The 18,175-nt window shown below is 59.8% G+C and overlaps 3 pseudogenes across 1 annotated transcript in view, besides 3 other annotated features; all 3 read left to right on the top strand.

Annotated features, from left to right (window-relative positions):
- Positions 1 to 12,679, top strand: part of DTX2P1 (DTX2 pseudogene 1) — a 44,590-nt pseudogene extending 31,911 nt beyond the window's left edge.
- The window catches only part of DTX2P1-UPK3BP1-PMS2P11 (DTX2P1-UPK3BP1-PMS2P11 readthrough, transcribed pseudogene), a 42,940-nt pseudogene that overhangs the window by 10,857 nt on the left and 13,908 nt on the right, over positions 1 to 18,175 (top strand). The window contains exons 3-6 of the transcript NR_023383.1: positions 8,631 to 8,710; positions 10,485 to 10,643; positions 12,540 to 12,629; positions 13,872 to 14,097. The product of NR_023383.1 is annotated as a DTX2P1-UPK3BP1-PMS2P11 readthrough, transcribed pseudogene (transcript). The remainder of the gene's footprint in view (positions 1 to 8,630; positions 8,711 to 10,484; positions 10,644 to 12,539; positions 12,630 to 13,871; positions 14,098 to 18,175) is intronic.
- Positions 7,293 to 8,123: an enhancer, noted in NCBI's record as "H3K27ac-H3K4me1 hESC enhancer chr7:76628288-76629118 (GRCh37/hg19 assembly coordinates)". NCBI's record gives its function as "activates a minimal SCP1, AML or CMV promoter by ChIP-STARR-seq in naive H9 embryonic stem cells {active_cell/tissue: H9 hESC(naive)}" and the evidence as "EXISTENCE:reporter gene assay evidence [ECO:0000049][PMID:30033119]".
- Positions 8,124 to 8,952: an enhancer, noted in NCBI's record as "H3K27ac-H3K4me1 hESC enhancer chr7:76629119-76629947 (GRCh37/hg19 assembly coordinates)". NCBI's record gives its function as "activates a minimal SCP1, AML or CMV promoter by ChIP-STARR-seq in naive H9 embryonic stem cells {active_cell/tissue: H9 hESC(naive)}" and the evidence as "EXISTENCE:reporter gene assay evidence [ECO:0000049][PMID:30033119]".
- On the top strand, positions 12,883 to 14,198 carry UPK3BP1 (uroplakin 3B pseudogene 1; annotated as a pseudogene).
- Positions 16,354 to 16,648: a silencer, noted in NCBI's record as "tiled region #3059; HepG2 Repressive DNase matched - State 8:EnhW, and K562 Repressive non-DNase unmatched - State 18:Pol2". NCBI's record gives its function as "represses a minimal TATA promoter and a strong SV40 promoter by Sharpr-MPRA in HepG2 and K562 cells {active_cell/tissue: HepG2 | K562}" and the evidence as "EXISTENCE:reporter gene assay evidence [ECO:0000049][PMID:27701403]".

Here is an 18,175-nt window from a genome sequence, read left to right on the forward strand (position 1 = left end):
TGTAAGGAGGTGGATGGCGCCATCGTTGTTCACAGGGTGATGTGGCGGAATTCAATAATGAGTTGGTGTTTTAGGGGAGTTGCTGTCGTAGTGGCTGAGAGGGGACAGGCCTGGAGGTAGGGCGGCTGGTGCAGAGCCTGACCTCAGACCTGGGGGCACCAGCCAAGGCCTGACCAGCTTCGAGGCAGTGGAGTTGAGGGGGAGGTTTGGCTTGAAACATTCAGAGGCATGAGCCGTCAGGCGGGGGGTTGTGAGGGGGGATTGGGGGTAGACTGAGGCCTGCTGGAGTGCAGCCAGTGACAACTGAGGAGCAGCCTGGGGCTTGGCGTGTGTGAATTCATTTCGTCCTTAAATCACTGAGGTGGAGGCTTTTGTTCCCATTTTCATTAGAGGAAACTGAGGCTCGGAGAATTTAAAAATTCTCTGCCAGCCCTTGGCAGAGCTGAGACACAGCCCCGGGCCTTCTTGCCTATGACGGTTCAGTGCTGCTGAGTCTAGGGGGAGGTTGGGAGGGGGTGATGGCTGTGGAGTGGCCGTTGGAGCTGTTCCGGGGCAGTGGGATTTGGCTGTGGGCCTCAGAAGAGCAGTCTTGGGTGGAATGGGGTGCCCCTGACCCCTCGTGGGAGCGTGTGTGCCACAGAGACCGTGGGCGGGACTGAAGAGAAAATGAAGGAGCGGCCAGAGAGGTGGGGGCAGGAGGGAGAGGAGCTGGAGCGGGGCAGGGGAGACAGAATGAGCAAGACACACTGGCCAGAAAGTCCCTGCTCACTGAAGTCACCGTGCGGCGCCGTAGGGAAATCACAGTGTACCGTGTGTGCATGTGCGGCCGTGGTGGCATTGGAGACAGGTTGTGGGTAAACAGACGGGGCCCCCACACGGTTCCTCATGGCCCAGCTCCTTCCAGTTCTGGGGCTCTCGCAAGCCTTCGTGGCCAGGCCTGACAGTGAGCGACCTCTGAGGCCATGACACAGATCTGAGTGCCCTGGGTGTGGAGTTAGCACCTGCCCCCTTCCTCTGCTCTTGAGGCTGAAGGTCCTGTCCAGGCTGTGTCCCAAATTGTCCATCCTGTTGTCTGTCCCCGTTGCTCTCAGAGCAATCCTGGAGCTAAAGCAGGTATTTTAACATCCATTTTACTTGTGGGGAAATAGATTCGGGAAGCTGGTTCAGGCCTAAGGAAATAGGAGAGCCTGGAGGCTGTGTGGACTCCTGCCTCCCCCAATTCAAGGCCCAGTGTTGGTACCTACTGGGGGAGCATTGTCTAGGGGAGCAGGGAATGAGAGGAGCCTGGCCAGCACCCCGGAGCCAGAGCTGGAGAGCAGTGTCCTGTCACCCTGGTGTGCTTGTGGGTTGAGGAATTATACCATGCCCGGCTGCGGAGATGAGCGTTTGCGCACAGGGTTTTTGCAGGGAGGTTTATAACCAGGAGGTCATGCTTTGGAAGGACTGAGTGCTGGAGGCACTGCTTCCAAGTGACAGTGCCTCCAGGTGACAGCTCCCCTGGCTGTGGCATAGCCCAGTCCCTCTATCGGGTGGGGGCAGGGACTGTGAGGCTGGAGCCAGGGTCTCCACCCCTCACCTGGTCACAGCAGCGGTCCATCCACAGCTCACACTGCTGCCTGGGGCAGGGATGGGTGTCAGCAGCCTGCCCAGGACTGCTCAGCTGGTGAGGGCTGGCACTGGGCTCGAACCCAGGCTGGGGAGGTCAGAGCGCACAGAGGAGAGGCTTGGATCTCAGCCCTGGCCCTGGGTGTCAGAAGGAGGGGTGTCTGCAAATTGGAAGTGAGAATCAGTGAGTGGGGGCTTCACTCTTCAGGGCTCTGACAGCGGGAATCCTCCCAGATGGGTGGAGAAAAAGGCTGTGGCCCTCCGAGTTATTCAGGTGATTTGGGGGCTGTCAGGAGTTTGGGGGGTTGTCCCTAGCCCTCCTCCTCTCCAGGCTTCTGGGTTGAAACTTGTGTGTTTGTGACTTGAATTCAGGGGAGTGGGTCCTGCATTGAAAAGGACACGTGTGTCACTCATGCGGCCTCCTGGGGGCTGGTGGTGGCCCAAGGATGTCTTCATTCCTCAGCAAACACAGAGGGCTGCAGGCTTCCCAGGGATCAGGCACTGCCCCAGCGGGGTGCTGGAGATGCAGCTACGGGTGGGACCTCGTGGAACTCGTGCTGAGGGAAGACAGTCCATAGAAACAGAGGGGAGTGCAAAGCAGGAGTCCAGTACGGCGGGGCGGGAGGCTTGGAGGGACAGGCCCCGTCAGGCAGTGTTCAGGGAAGGCCTGCCCGCCGAGGCAGTGTTGCCGGAGAACCCTGGGTAGGGAGACGTGTCCTGGCCTTTGGTCCTCCCAGACGACGTGGGCAGCGCAGAGGCACCAGGTTCTCTTGAGGAAAATTGCACCTGTCCCTGTCCTCTCCCATCTGTCTGCCACCCGCGCCCGCTTGTCCTTCTCTCCACCCGACATTCAGTTCCCACAGGAACCGCATTTGAGCCCAGGAACAAGCTTGGGATGTTGGGGGCATTGAGCTCCCGGGCTCAAACCTCTGTCCTCTGATGCACGCTTTGGTGTCTCCTGCTGAGCGGCCACTGCAACTCACCCTGCCCACCTCGGCTCTGCTGCCCAGGCTGGTGGCTGGTCTCCGCTTCTGTCCCCACAGCCAGGCACATGTGCCGGGTTGAGAAGCTTTGTTCTTCTAGTGGGGGCGCAGTGGCTGGCCTGGCCGCCCTTCACCCCTGAGTCACGCCATCTGTTCCTGGATGGGGAGTGGGGTCCAGGAGGACTGGGATCTCTACCAACTCCCCCGGCAGCCGGCTGTGCCCAGCTCCTGAGCCAGGTTCTGCAGACCCTGGAAGCCACCTTAAGGGATGGCTAAGAAGCTCTGGGCTTCCCCTTTCTCTGGAGAGGAGGTGCTTTTGACCTAACTGACCGATGACAGGGAGGACCGGGGAGCTGGCACTATGGAAAGTGGGGTAGGCCGAGGGTGTGGCAGGAACGGGTTCGTCCAGCAGGACACGCTGTGTCCCAGGAAGCGCTGGGTCATCAGGGAGCACGAAGGAAGCAGTGTCAGAGGAGAGTCCCCCAGGGCAAGTGTGGGGTTCCCTGCAGGCATCCGGCAGTGGTGAGCTCTGGAAAGAGTGGCCGGTCTGTCCCAGCATAGCTGCTGGCCACAGGCCCACCCTTGCCCGAGGGCGCCAGAGCCACAGCCTGGGGCCTTGCTGCAGCCCAGCCCTCACAGTATGGGGATGCTGCAGTGTGGGAGCAGGCCCAGGGGCCACGTTCCTGCCCGCCTACCCCAGCGCTGTCGCTGAAGGCCCTGGCACCCAGATCAGCCAGGAGGGGCATGGAGCACACACAGCGCCCAGTGGAGGCTGGAGGCCTAGTAACTCCAAGCCAGGAGGGCCCAGGGCCTCCTGGGGAAGCTGAGCCCTTGGAGCCAGCCCCACCCAGGAGACCCCGTGCCCCGGGCGGCTTCCTGGAGTGGCGTCCTCCGCCCTCTGCTCTCCTGAAGTCACGGGTCCTGCCCCGGTGCCCACCTGCACACTGAGGGCACGGGCTTGTCTGTTGCTCCTATAGAAACCTGTGGGCTCTGGGGCCAGGGCTACCATGAGCCAGGCTGCCCCACCCTCTGATTCCTGGCCTGGGTAGTCCCCAGGGAGACCTGTGCGTCCCCGTGGCCATTGATGGTGTCACATCCTTGGCCTGAGCAGGGTTTGTTGGCGTCACATGCCGAAGGAGTCTTCTAATGTCTCTCCCTCTCTGCGTGTCTGCTCTCACGCCCGTGCAGGCATGACGAGTGTTCTGATGTCAGCCATTGGACTCCCTGTGTGTCTTAGCCGCGCACCCCAGCCCACCAGCCCTCCCGCCTCCCGTCTGGCTTCCAAAAGTCACGGCTCAGTTAAGAGATTGAGGAAAATGTCCGTGAAAGGTAGTTCTTGTTCCCAAAAGCTCTCTGGCCTTTGCTAAGCCTCCTTCCGGCCTCGCTGCCTCCGACTCTTCTGCACAGACCCTCTTCCTTCTCTCTGCTCCCTGACTCCTGGGGGAAGGGGCTCAGTGGCCCTTCTCCCTGCCCCCGCTCGGCAGCAGAGGCGGCCCCTGGAAGCTGACTTTCCACCGCAGCCCCAGAGTTCAGCTCCTCTCCTCCAGTCACAGCTGGCATGAGGGGGCTTGTTCTTGAGGACTTTGTGATTTTTGTAAGCAGCAAGTTGTGGGTGAGAGGCGGCGCCCGGCTCAGGATGCGGGGACAACCGTCCCTTCCGCCAGGGCCAGCACGTGTCTCGGGAAAGGCCCCCAGACAGCGGCCCAGGTCTGCTGCCCAGGTCTGCTGCCCTGACCCCCAGCCCTGTGTGGCCGCCACGTGGGCTGCTTGAGAGGGGTCCCTCGGTGACCCCTGCCCTGCTCGTTGCATGGCCACAGAAGAAGGGGCTTTAGGACCACAGCAGGTCCAGGGAGTTACAGCAAGACCTGCTCGGAGCAGCCTGTGATGGTCAAGTTCTGAACCTTTCCCAAGCGGGTGCTGGCCCTGCTTCCACCCCTGGGCTGTGGAAGTGTGGACTGTGGCCAGTCCAGATGCTCTTGAGTGGGCGTGGTGGCGGGCAGGGAGGGTGGCCGTGGCCCTGCTGGCCCTCAGTGTCTGTGTCATCTCAGCAGGTCCTCTCGGAGCCTCCGCTTAGCAGAGGGGCTTGGCGAGGTCTAGGAAATACTCGAAGCGCCTGGCATGCGGCAAGGGTGGCTTCCGATCGTGTCCGACCTCCAGCCCACAGGCGAGGAGGTGGGCTCAGGGAGGGGTGGGCCTCGAGCTCCTGCCCCCAGCCCAGGGCTCTGCACGCCCTGCCCTTCCCCTGCCCTGGGGGAGGAGCCAGACTCGTTGGCAGCCCGGCTGGCAACCTTCTGTGGCACTCGGGTTTACCTGGGAAGGACACGCTCTTGGTGGGTCGCCTGGCTGGCCCCTTCTGAGACACGTGGCTAATGGAAAGCTCCCTTCTGTTCTGAAAAGCTGCAAGGGCTGGGGTGGGTGGGCGGGGGTGGGATGCTGTGCCCGGCCTCACCAGGGCTGGGCAGAGGCGAGGCCCAGGCTCACCCGGAGATGGCTCTGGAGTTGGCAGGCTTTTCCAAAGGAAAAGGCCCCCCTCAGCCTGAGTAGGGCATTCCAGCCACACGGAGGGTGACCCTGAGCTGGGGGCCATCGTTCTGGTCTGGCGTTCTCGCCACCGTGACAGGATTTGGGTTCGGGCAGTCTGTATGGGTGTGTGGAGGTGTGGGGGTGTGTGAGGTGTGTGGAGGTGGGTGTGTGGGGTGTGTAGAGGTGAGGGTGTGTGGGGTGTGTGGAGGTGAGGGTGTGTGGGGTGTGTGGAGGTGTGGGGTGTATGGAGGTGTGGAGTGTGTGTGGAGGTGTGTGGAGGTGTGGGGTGTATGGAGGTGGGTGTGTGGGGTGTATGGAGGTGTGAGGTGTGTGGAGGGGTGAGGTGTGTAGGGTGTGTAGAAGTGTGTGGGGTGTGAGGTGGGGTGTGAGGTGTGTGGAGGTGGGTGTGTGGAGCTGTGTGTGGTGTGTGGAGGTGTGAGGTGTGTGGAGGTGTGGGGTGTGTGGAGCTGTGTGGGGTGTATGGAGGTGTAGGGTGTGAGGAGGTGTGGAGGTGTGTGGTGTGTGGAGGTGTGGGGTGTGTGGAGGTGTGGGGTGTGTGGAGCTGTGTGGGGTGTATGGAGGTGTAGGCTGTGAGGAGGTGTGGGGTGTGTGAAGGTGTGGGGTGTGTGGAGGTGTGGGGTGTGTGGAGGTGTGGGATGTGTGGGGTGTGTGGAGGTGGGTGTGTGGGGTGTGGAGATGTGTGAGGTGTGGAGGTGTGTGGTGTGTGGAGGTGTGGAGTGTGGGGTCTGTGAAGGTGTGAGGGGTGTGTGGAGGTGTGGGAGTTGTGTGGCGATGTGTGTGGGGTGTGTGTGTGGAGGTTGGTGTGTGGAGGTGTGTGGTATGTGGAGGTGGGGATGTGGGGTGTGTAGAGGTGAGGGTGTGTGGGGTGTGTGGAGGTGCGTGGGGTGTGTGGGGGGTGTGGAGGTATGCGGTGTGTGGAGGTGGGTGGTGGTGTGTGGGGTGTCTGGAGGTGTGTGGGGTGTGTGGTGTGTGGAGGTGTGGGGTGTGTGTGGTGTGTGTGGACGTGTGGTGTGTGTGTGGAGATGTGTGGTGTGTGGAGGTGTGGGGTGTGTACAGGTGTGGGGTATGTGGAGATGGGGTGTGCAGGTGTGTGGAAGTGTGCAGGTGTGGAGGTGTGCAGGTGTGTGGGTATGTGCAGGTGTGGGGTGTGTGGTATGTGGTGTGTGCAGGTGTGGGTATGTGGAGGTGTGGGGTGTGTGGAGGTGTGTGATATGAGGAGTGGGGTGTGGAGGTGTGGGGTATGTGGAGATGGTGTGTGGAAGTGTGTGGTGTGTGCAGGTGTGGGGGTGTGGAGGTGTGGGGTGTGTGGAGGTGTGGAGTGTGGGGTGTGTGGAGTTGTGAGGTGTGGGTGGAGTTGGTGTGTGGTGTGGGATGTGTGGAGGTGGGTGTGTGGAGGTGTGTGGGATGTGGAGGTGTGGGGTGTTTGGAGGTGTGTGGGATGAGGTGTGGGGTGTGTGGAGGTGTGGGATATGCGGGGATGTGTGGGAGGTGTGGGTGGAGTTGGCTGTGCGTGGGGGGGTGTGGGTGTGGATTGGGGTGTGTGGTGTGTGTATAGGTGTGGTGTCTTTAGGTGCGGGGGGTGTGGATTGGGGTGTGGTGTGTGTAGGTGTGTCTGTAGGTGGGGGTGTGGGTGTTGGTGTGTGTGTGGAGGTGTGGGGTATGTGGGGGTGTGTGGAGGTGGGGGTGTGGGTGTTGTGTGGGGTGTGTGTGGGGTGTGTGGAGGTGTGGGGTATGCGGGGATGTGTGGAGGTGTGGGGTTGTGGGTGGAGTTGGGTGTGTGGGTGTGGAATGGAGTGTGTGGTGTGTGTATAGGTGTGGTGTCTTTAGGTGTGGGGGGTGTGGATTGGGGTGTGGTGTGTGTGTAGGTGTGTCTGTAGGTGGGGGTGTGGGTGTTGGTGTGTGTGTGGAGGTGGGTATGTGGGGGTGTGTGGAGGTGAGGGTGTGGGTGTTGTGTGGGGTGTGTGTGGGGTGTGTGGAGGTGGGTATGGGGGTGTGTGGAGGTGTGGGGGTGTGGGTGGAGTTGTGTGGGGTGTGTGGAGGTGTGGGGTATGTGGGGGTGTAGGTGGAGTTGGGTGTGTGTGGGGGGGTGTGGGTGTGGATTGGGGTGTGTGGTGTGTGTGTAGGTGTGGTGTCTAGGTGTGGGGGCTGTGGGTGTGGATTGGGGTGTGTGTGTGTAGGTGTGTCTGTAGGTGTGGGGGGTGTGGGTGGAGGTGTGGGGTGTGTGGATGGGGGTTGGGGGGTGTGGTCTTGCCAGCAGTTTCCCTCCAGGTCACAGCAGCCATGCCATCACAGCAATTCCAGCTTGGTTACATATTCGTCTTTCCCGTTTGAGATCAGGGAACCGAGGCTCAGAGGTGGCATGATTCGTTCACAGCAAGAGAACTAGAATTAAACAAACTGTGCCGACTCCAGCCTCCGCCCCACCACGCCACCTCCCTGCCAAACTGTCCCCTCCCTGGCCCTTTTTGGTGTAAAGGGAGTTCAGCAGGTGCAGCTGTGCGCCCTCAGGCTTAGAGGCTTAGAATTCTCTGCAGCACCTAAAGGCCGTGAGCTTGGATTCAAACCAGAGCCCCTTCTGGTCCTGGAGTCTGGGACGACCGCAGCCCCACCATGACCTTGGGGTGGAGCCCCTGTCAGGAGCGCCTCCACGGGTGGCACTGGGCTCCCCGTCCCTCTTTCACCCCCGCACGGGCTTGGCTGCTGGCTTCTGTGGTTCTGCTACTCCCACTACCTAGAGAACGCCCCGGGCCGCGCCGATCCTCACCAGCTCAGGAGCTTCTTGTCCGTAGGAGAGGCTTTACTGGATGTGGGGTTCGGTGTTTATGGAGATGCAGCCCTTCTCCCTCCAGCTTCGTGCGTGTGTGCACAGACAGCGAGTGAGGCCGTCAGGGTGGGCTCCTGCCACGTCTTGGCCCCTCCCCAGAGTCGCTGGACTTAGGAGCTAGTCTGCATGTGACAGACCTTCCCAGTCAGTGGCAGGCGTTTCCCGGGACAGTGTCTGTGTGGCGGTCGGCGTGTGTGCAGCTGCCTGTACATGCTGGACCCCAGACTCCCTTGTCCTTGCGATGTTCATGCCAGGGTAATGCAAGTTGAATCAAATCGTGGTGCCACAACGCCCCCTGGAGTAGTTTGTGCCCGAAGCGGCTGTCTGACTCTTCCGCGCAGCCTCAGAAGCGCCGGGGTCGGTTCCTCACTCAATGTGCGCGGGGATGCGGCTCCCAGGAGACTGTGCTGCTGTTTCTGCTCTTCTGCATCCTCCATGGCTCCTGGGGCTGAGCCGGGTCCCCGGACGGTGGGACTGGGGAAGGCTTTGCCCGACGGAGCTCGGGGCTCTGTGCCTGGCGCTGAGCTCTCCCGTCCCGCACACTGGCCTCCCTGTCTGGGCCCCTCTCGCATTTCCTCCTGGCAGCTTAGACCTCTTCCTTGCCTTCCTCGCCCTCTGGCCTCCTCTCCAGCCTGTGCTCCTCAGGACGCTGCTTATGTACTTCTCTCTTCTAGGAGCGACCCCGAAGCCAGAGCCAGAGCCAGAGCAGGTCATAAAAAACTACACGGAAGAGCTGAAAGTGCCCCCAGATGAGGTTTGTGTCTTGGGACCTTGGCTGCCTTTGTTTCTGTTTGGAAACAACTCCACATGGAAAGGACATCCGCCCCATCTTGCTTGAAGGGTGCTTCCCAGGTGCCTCTGGGTGCCAGGGCCTTGCTCCAGCCCCTTTGGTTTCATCTCCCAGCCTCCCGAGACCCACATCGTTATGATCTGAGCTTTGCACTTAAGGAGCTGTGGTCCTGAGCAAAGCCCCTCCTCTCCCGGCCCTGGCCTCTCCATAGCCTGATGGCCATCCTGGGAGCAGGAATTCCAGAGACAAGGGATGGGCCAGCCTGCCCCACTCTCCACCTTGCGGATGCTGGTGTAGAAGTGAGGTGGCCTCGTCCAGGTGGCTGTCCTGTCCCCCGGCTATTGGGAGAGCTGGTCAAGGTTCTTATAATTTTTTTATTCTTAAAGACGGGTGCACACTGTCACCCAGGCTCAGTGCAGTGGCGTGATCACAGCTCACTGCAGCCCTGTCCTCCTGACCTCCTGTAATGAACAGGACCAATCAGACTCCTATTGCGCTTCCATAGAACCTGAACCTCTGCTGAGCCACGTTTTGGGGGCTGCAGCACCACTTTCCCCTGATTTTAGCTGGGAGCCCGGGAGATACTGTTGGGGGAGGGGGTGGGCGAACGGCCGGGAGTACCAGTACCCAGAGATCTTCAGATACTTGGGGGCGGGTGGAAGGCCAGGAGCCCCAGTACCCAGGGACTCTTCACTTGTCTCTTTCTCCAGTCTGAGTCCATGAGAAAAATTTGGTAAGTAAAGGTTTGGAAAGGAGCCTGAACGTCGTCCTCATGTGTCCCACCCCTTCCACAAGCCCTTGCCACATTCCCGCCTGCCCAGCGCTCAGCTCTGTCTCGGCCCTGGTGTCCATCTGGTGTGACTGGGCCGTTTCACCCCAGGCTCCTCCTCTCCAAGCTGCCGTCTGCACAGCCAGCACGCAGCTTGGATCATGGGAGCACTCCCTGCCTGGAACCCCCAGCAGGACCCCCAACTCACACACAACCCCAAGCCCCTGAGTGTGGCAGCCAGACCCCCGAGGGCGCGCCTCTCCCTGATCCTGTCTCATCTCCTGCTCCCAGCCCACCCCCTGCCAGCTTTAGTGCCCATGCGCTGGCTCCTCGTTCAGAACGTCCTCCTCCCTCTTCCGGGTGCCCACTCTGTGCTTGTCCATCTGGCAATTCCTGTCTCCCTTGTAAGACCCCACTCCGAGGGCCTCCCCCAGGATCCTGCCCTGTCCGTCCTTCCCATTTGGTGGCTTCTGCTGTCATGTCGGGCCTGTGCTGCTGGTAAGCCCTTCAAGGGCACAGGTCCCGGTGACTCACCTGTGTCTCCAGCCTGTGGAATGGACTTTTTTTTTTTTTTTCTGAGACGGAGTCTCGCTCTGTCGCCCAGGCTGGAGTGCAGTGGCATAATCTCAGCTCTGCAACCTCTGCCCCCTGAGTTCAAGTGATTCTCTTGCCTCAGCCTCCCGAGTAGCTGGGATTATAGGCGCCTGCCAACACGCCCAGCTAATTTTTGTATTCTTAGTAGAGATGGGGTTTTCCCGTGTTGGCCAGGCTGGCCTCAAATTCCTGACCTCAAGTGATCGGCCTCCCAGAGTGCTGGGATTACAGGCCTGAGCCACTGCGCCTGGCCTCGGAATTGACTTTGACTGCACTTCCAGCATTTCAGCACATGAAAGCCTCTTTTTTCCAAGACTGGCCCACGTCAGCCCAGCCCACTGTTGGCGAGCATGACCCATGTTTGGTCTCCTCCAGGACTGCATCATCTGCATGGAGAAGCTGTCCGCAGCGTCTGGATACAGCGATGTGACTGACAGCAAGGCAATCGGGCCCCTGGCTGTGGGCTGCCTCACCAAGTGCAGCCACGCCTTCCACCTGCTGTGCCTCCTGGCCATGTACTGCAACGGCAATAAGGTGCCCCCACTGGCCCGGGGCGGAGGCGGGTGGCCTGCCCCGGAAGTCCTGAGCTGTCCCCTGCAGGGGTGGGAGGGTTCCGGGGGTGGCTGTAGGAATGGGCCTCTGCAAAAGATGGTGCTGGGCGTGGGGCCAGCTTGAAGACCTTTCTAAAGGCCTGGCCGGCTCTCCTAGGCCTGCCCTACTCTTCTAGGTCTGCCGCACACTTTAGAAAGGAGGACCAGTGCGGCTGGTTCCCTCCACCCCTCCAGCCAGGCCTGAGAAGATTCTGGGCTTCTCTGAGCCTCAGGGCACCGCCTCCCCCTCGGCCACTTGTAAACACCGCAGACACTGTCTCCCTTCTTCCTTACAGCATCCCTGTGCAGTCAGCACAGTGCTCATGAGGGAGAGGCTCAGAGCAGGGGCTGTACCCACGGTCACCCCACTGGGAGGTGGGAGCCAGGCCTTGAGGCAGGGCTGGTCCTGGGCCCCACGGTAGCCTACACATGAAGAGCCACGCCCAGACCGACCCCCAGCTGCTCTCCCTGCATCGGCCTTCAGGCGGGATGGGCAGAGTTTAGAGGCTTAGAGAACCGAGTCGTGGCGCATCGGAGCCTGGCTCGGCCTTCCCTAGTATCTGCCGTCCTGGGCAGCCAAGGCCCAGCTCCGCAGATCAGACGCTGCAAGGCTGTCTATCCGACTGCAAATGCGATTCACCCGTGGAGATTTCTGCTCAGGATCCAAGTTTTCCCACTCGCCACCTGTCTCCTGATAGCATGTCCCTTAACGAAAATGGCATAAGTTGCTGGTGCAAAACAAAGCTTTCCAGGGAAGCTGTTGGAAGCCAGTTTCCGGGCAGGAGGCTGCCAGCAACTCCCTGGGATGGTGGCCAGCCCATTCCCGGGGCCCTTTACCATCTGATGGTGGAGGTGACGGTCTTGGGTGTTCTCAGACTGCCAGCTCAGTGGGTTGCGTCTGCCTCTCTCAGGATGGAAGTCTGCAGTGTCCCTCCTGCAAAACCATCTATGAGAGAAGACGGGGACCCAGCCCCAGGGAAAGATGGAGGTATTACGGTTCCAGATGTCGCTCCCCGGCCACGAGGACTGCGGGACCATCCTCATAGTTTACAGCATTCCCCATGGCATCCAGATGAGGGGCCTTCTTGAGTCCCCCACTCCTGGCCATTCCTCTTCCCACCCCGCCCACGTCCCAGCAGTCTGCCCCTGGATCAAGGCTGAGGATGCCCATGTGGCCAAGCTCAGGCCCCCAGGTCCCCTAAGGCCAGGGCCATGGAGGGCTGGGAATGGGGAGGCAGTGCCGGGGCTTAGGGTAAGCTCTTAGGGCTGTGGCAGCAAAAGGCTGGCCCTCCACTCTTTCCTGAACCAAGGAAGCCTTCCTAGAGGAGGAGCCATCTTAGCTGGACTTGTTCTGGGCAGAAGGGCAGGCAGTTCAGTGGGAGGAACCCTGCGGAGGGGCTGGAGAAGCGGGGCCACAGCAGGGTGTGCGTCGAGGAACCTTGGGTTGGGAGTGGCAGGGCCAGGCGTGTGGGTGTCAGGAGCCCAGGCACAAGGCCCCAGAGTCCCAGAGGAGACTCAGATGGGCCCTAGCCCTTTCGGTCTCCTGTCTTGAGCCAAGGTGGATCGTAGGGCCTGGGGCAGGGTGGGAAGATAACGGGGCAGCAGGCAGCGGGCACTGGCTGCCAGCCAAGGTCCACCTGTGGTGGATGGAGGCATCTTTTTGTCTTGTTGAACCATGAGCCTTTCCCCTGGTTTCCCTCCACTTCTCCACAGCTCAGAGGGAAATTCAGGAACATTCGGGGTTGGCATCTCGGAGCGGGGGAGGAGCTGGAGCTGTGCAGGGGCCTGTCCCTGTGCGGGCTCTCGGAGCACCCTATCCTGGTGTCTGTTCCTCCCGCAGGGCCCTGAGCACCCCAATCCCGGAAAGCCGTTCACTGCCAGAGGGTTTCCCCGCCAGTGCTACCTTCCAGACAACGCCCAGGGCCGCAAGGTGAGTGCCACCATGCGCCCCGGGGGTGGACGGGGCCCTGACCAGGCGGCAGGAGGCCAGGCGCCACACTGGACTCTGTTTCTGCAGCGGAGGACAGAGGCTGAGGCCGGGCCGAGTGTCTGCTGCTCTTTTCTGGGGACCTGCTGTAGGTACAGGGAGGGCAGCCTGGACCTCACATAGCCTCGAGGGAGGAGGAGAGGCCATCACCTTCCAGCACCCTGCCGGGTGGGGTCAGGAGCTCCTGAGAGTTAGAGTGTGACAGGCAGGGACCGGGGGCTGTGTTAGACCAGGTGACCACGGAAGGCTGGAGCAGTGGTGTCTGCACTGTGACATGAATAGGGACTTTGTGGCTGCAGCCAGACCCAAGGGGCTGGGGGCCCTGCTGGAGTGATTGGACCCTGGGCGCCCACCCCCCTCCGATTGGGAGAGGCAGCCCCAGGGACCCCCACGCCTGTCTCCGTGGCTCACCTTTTGTCCCCCGTGGCCACAGAGCTGGTGCCCTACACACCACAGATAACAGCTTGGGACCTGGAAGGGAAGGTCACAGCCACCACCTTCTCCCTGGAGCAGCCGCGCTGTGTCTTCGATGGGCTTGCCAGCGCCAGCGATACCGTCTGGCTCGTGGTGGCCTTCAGCAATGGTGCGGGGACTGCTGTGGGGCCTGGGTGAGGGTGACGGCTGAGGAGAGTGGTGGGCCCTAGGAGCCCCTCACCAGCAAGCGCCTTCAATGATTGAGCCCCTGTGGGGGCCTTTGGGAGAGTAGGTGTGGATGAATTGGGCTTTATCTAAAGGGGTAATATGTGTATTGAAAAATACACACGTAGTGAACACCAAATCCTGGGAGTAGTGCAAGTGGTGGGTTTGTCAGCTGTCAAGGGCTCTGCAACCCTTTCTCTGAATCCAAGTAGTTCTTCCTTTGGACAGGGAACCGAGGCTGCGACCTGGGAGGATGTGGCCTCCTGTGGGGCAGGGCCGGTGCACTGCGATGGGGCTGGGGCTGGCGCTGGGCAGGTTGGGACTGCCCGCTGCTCCCCACTCCTGGCTCTGGGTGGGGACAAAAGGCCAGAGGGAAGCTCCCCTTCAGGGGTAACAAAGTCGACTGGGTCTGGACTATCTCTGGGGGCCCTGAGGGAGGAGGTGGCATGGGGGGTCAGGGCTGGAGACTGGGCGAACACAGAACCCCCTCATAAGGACAAAGCTGCTTTCTCCCCTCCCACCTCCATCTGTTCTCTCCTCCTGCAGCCTCCAGGGGCTTCCAGAACCCGGAGACACTGGCTGACATTCCGGCCTCCCCACAGCTGCTGACCGATGGCCACTACATGACGCTGCCCGTGTCTCCGGACCAGCTGCCCTGTGACGACCCCATGGCGGGCAGCGGAGGCGCCCCCGTGCTGCGGGTGGGCCATGACCACGGCTGCCACCAGCAGCCCTTCTGCAACGCGCCCCTCCCTGGCCCTGGACCCTATCGGTGGGTGGTCCCCACCGGAGCCCTGGGACTGGGGCTGTGCTTGGGGCGGACGCATTGCTGGGACCAGGGATGCTCTCTCTAGCATCTTTCCAGGGAGGGGTCCCCCGACCCCGGTCCTCCCCTTGGCAAGCCCGGGCTCCTTCCACTGTAGAGTCAGCAACAGTGCTCACCCCCGCTGGGGCCGGGCAAGGCCCAGGAGGAGCGGGTGGGCACCTTGGGGAGGCGGGATCTTAGTCAAGGTGGGAGGGGGCAGCTTCCCCAAAGTCTAGGCCCCTGTCCCCCACCACGGGCAGATCTGGCAGGAAACTCGGGGGCCGAGTTCAGACCCAGTCTCGTCGGTATTAGGCAGGGAGCAGGAGAGGTGGCTCCTACCCGCTCTTACAGATGAGGAAACTGAGGCACAGGAGGTCAAGTGGCCTGCCAACATCGGGGTGGAGCCGGGATGGGGAAGCAGGCAGTGTGTCCAGGTCAGGACTGTCTGGACACAGGAGGAGGCGGGGTGACCTCAGGAAGACCAGGCCCAGGGGAAGCCGGGAAGGCAGGGCGTGGTGAGGCTGGAACAGCACCCCGCTCCGCCCAGCCCCCTTCTGCCCTCTCACCCACTCTCCAGGTCCACCCTCTGCCCTCCCCGCTGCCTCACCCTGGCTCAGCCTTCCAGCTCCATGCCCCGCCCCATCCCCCGCAGCCACTCTTTTCAATGCCAACCTGCCAGGTCCTTCCCCGCTTCCCAGGCCTTGCAGAGCTCCCAGCCCTGCAAAGAGACAAACCGAGCCCCTCTGCGGGGCTCCTGGTGCCCTGGGTCCTCAGGCTGCTGGTGATTGAGCCCCCTGCCCCCCGGCTACTGCTGCCCCTCCGGGAGGCCTGTGACCCCTGCCCCATGTGCCCTGCTAAGCCACCTTCACCTGCTCTTTTGGCTTGTGACATTTAGGAACCAGGGCCCCTAAACCAGCATCCCCGGCCCAGGTCTGGTGTCTGGAGAGCAATTGCTCGGGGGGATGAGGGGTGGTGGCACAGGCCAAGTGGCTGGAGACATCTGAGGGGGATTCTCAGAGCAGGGCCAGGCCATGGGCTGCTGCTCTTGACGGCACCCCCACTCCACATCCATGGGAGGGCCCCAGAGGAGCTGCCTGGAGCTTGGCCCTGCCCAGGGTGGTCCCGGCCTCTGAAGCTCTCCCCTCCTCCCCCACCACCTCCCATCCCCAGGGTGAAGTGATACCCTGTCTTGAACGAACAGGCCAGGCGCAGTGACTCACACCTGTAATCCCAGGACTTTGGGAGGCTGAGGTGGGCAGATCACTTAAGGTCAGGAGTTAGAGACCAGCCTGGCCAATGTGGCAAAACCCTGTCTCTACCAAAAATAGAAAAATTAGCAGGGCATGGTGGTGGGGGCCTGTAATCCCAGCTACTCGGGAGGCTGAAGCAGGAGAATCACTTGAACCCAGAAGGTGGAGGTTGCAGTGAGCCGAGATCTTGCCACTGCCCTCCAGTTTGGGTGACAGAGCAAGACTCCGTCTTCAAAACAAAACAAAACAAAACACACAAACAAACAAAAAAACCCCACCACGGTGGAGCCCAGGTCCCTCTGCCTGGAACTGAGAGAGAGTTAACAGACGGGCTTGGTGTCTCATGCCTGTAATCCCAACTTTGGGAGGCCAGGGCAGGCGGATCACTTGAGGTCAGGGGTTTGAGAGCAGCCTGGCCAACATGGTGAAACCCTGTCTCTGCTAAAAATACAAAAATTAGCCTGGTGTGGTGGTGGGTGCCTGTAATCCCAGCTACTTGGCAGGCTGAGGCAGGAGAATCACTTGAACCTGGGAAACGGAGGTTGCAGTGAGCCGAGATCGTGCCACTGCACTCCAGCTTGGACGACAGAGCGAGACTCCAACTCAAAAAAAAAAAAAAAAAAAAAGACAGAGTTAAAAGACCACCTCCCTGTCAGTGACTCTTCAGCAGAGACTGTCTCACGCTGTCCTATCCGGACCCAAGACAGTTGGCTAGGGGCCCGGCCCCAGAGGGGTATGACAGGGAGAAGGAGGGGGCCGTTGGTGTTTGCTGTGTGAAAAGATGAATTAATCCTCCCAGGGTTCAAGGACCAGCTAGGAGCAGGATTGCCATGGCTTTTTTGTTTTTTTTTTAACGTGGAGTCTCACTCTGTTGCCCAGGCTGGAGTGCTGTGGCGCGATCTCTGCTCACCGCAACCTCCACTTCCCAGGTTAAAGTGATTCTCGAGCCTTGGTCTCCTGAGTCGCTGGGATCACAGGTGCCTGCCACCACACCCAGCTAATTTTTGTACTTTCAGTAGAGATGGGGTTTCGCCATGTTGGCCACAGGCTTTTGCATGTCCTGCGGCCCTTCTGTGTTTGTTCTTAATGTCACAATCCGTGCTGATGCCAGGCGCAGCGCCAGGGACTTCCCATGCGAGCCTGCAGCTGCCCCTCCCTTCTGCACAGCCTCTCTGAGCCCACTGAGGAGCTGCCGTCACCCTCAGGAGCCGCCTGGAACTTGACTTTGGAAACACCCTCTAAACAGATCTTGGAACCTAGGGTGTAAAGACTGAATCATAGTCCAGGAGCCCAGGGGAGGCTACTGGCCCCCACTGAGAGCCAGGGGGGCTTCCTAGGGGTTCTTTCTTTCTTTTCTTTTTCTTTCTTTTTTTTTTTTTTTTTTTTTTTTTTTTGAGACCGAGTTTTGTTCTTGTTGCCCAGGCTGGAGTGCAACAGTGCGATCTCAGGTCACTGCAACCTCTGCCTCCTGGGTTCAAGCAATTCTACTGCCTCAGCCTCTGGAGTAGCTGGGATTACAGGCGCCTGCCACTACACCCAGCTAATTTTTGTATTTTTAGTAGAGATGAAATTTCACCATGTTAGCCAGGCTGGTCTTGAACTCCTGACCTCAGGTGATCCATCTGCCTTGGCCTCCCAAAGTGCTGGGGTTACAGGTATGAGCCACCACGCCTGGTCCCTGGGGTTATTTCTGAGCTGACTCTTTTTTTTTCTTTTCTTTTCTTTTTCTTTCTCTTTTTCTTTTTCTTTTTTTTTCTTTTTCTTTTTCTTTTTCTTTCTTTTTCTTTTTCTTTTTCTTTTTCTTTTTCTTTTCTTTTCTTTTCTGATGGAATCTTGCTCTGTTGCCCAGGCTGGAGTGCAGTGGCATGATCTTGGCTCACTGCAACCTCCACCTCCCGGGTTCAAGTGATTCTCCTGCCTGAGCCTCCCAAGTAGCTGGGATTACAGGCGCCTGCCATCATGCCTGGCTAATTTTTCTGTATTTTTAGTAGAGACAGGATTTCACCATGCTGGCCAGGCTGGTCTTAAATTCCTGAGTTCAACAGATCCTCCCACCTCAGCCTCCCAAAGTGCTGGGATTACAGGTGACAGCCACCATGCCCAGCCTTGAGCTGAATTTTGAAGGGCAAATGGAAGAAGGAGGCCGAGGCAGGAGGATCTCTTGAGCCTAAGAGTTCAAGACCAGCCTGGGCAACACAGCAAGACCCCATCTCTAAAAAGTTTTTTTAAAAAGAGGGAAGAAGGAGAGAGGAGGAGAGAGAGCTACTCAGAGAGACCAGGGGTGTATACGGTCCTGTTCTGCAGTGGCACCCATGGTGGCCAAGGGGTGGTAGCAGGGATTGTGGGCTGGGAAGAACCAGATCTGAACCAGGGCAGACACAGAGGATTGGAGAGGAAGAGTTGGATTCCAGAAATATGCAGGAGGTGGCCGCAGGAATTGGGAGATAAGGCAGAGGGAAGAGGCCATGCCCAGTTTCTGATGTGGCCTGGGCGTGAATGCAAAAATTGGGGTCTTCTGTGCTTTGCAAGTGAGTGCACCACCACAGTTTGCTTTACGGCAAGGCCCCAGGAAAAGGGGTTCTGGGGATGTCATCTCAACGGCAGGTGTGTTCCACAAGAACATTAATACATCGTTAATATTTTTGAAAGACAAGACTGGGCATGGTGGCTCACACCTGTAATCCCAGCCCTTTGGGTGGCTGAGGCAAGTGGATCACTTGAGCTCAGGAGTTTGAGACCAGCCTGGGCACCATGGCAAAACCCCGTGTCTACTAAAAATACAAAAAATAGCCAGA

Source organism: Homo sapiens, chromosome 7 (genome assembly GCF_000001405.40).
Source record: "Homo sapiens chromosome 7, GRCh38.p14 Primary Assembly".
Taxonomy (NCBI): domain Eukaryota; kingdom Metazoa; phylum Chordata; class Mammalia; order Primates; family Hominidae; genus Homo; species Homo sapiens.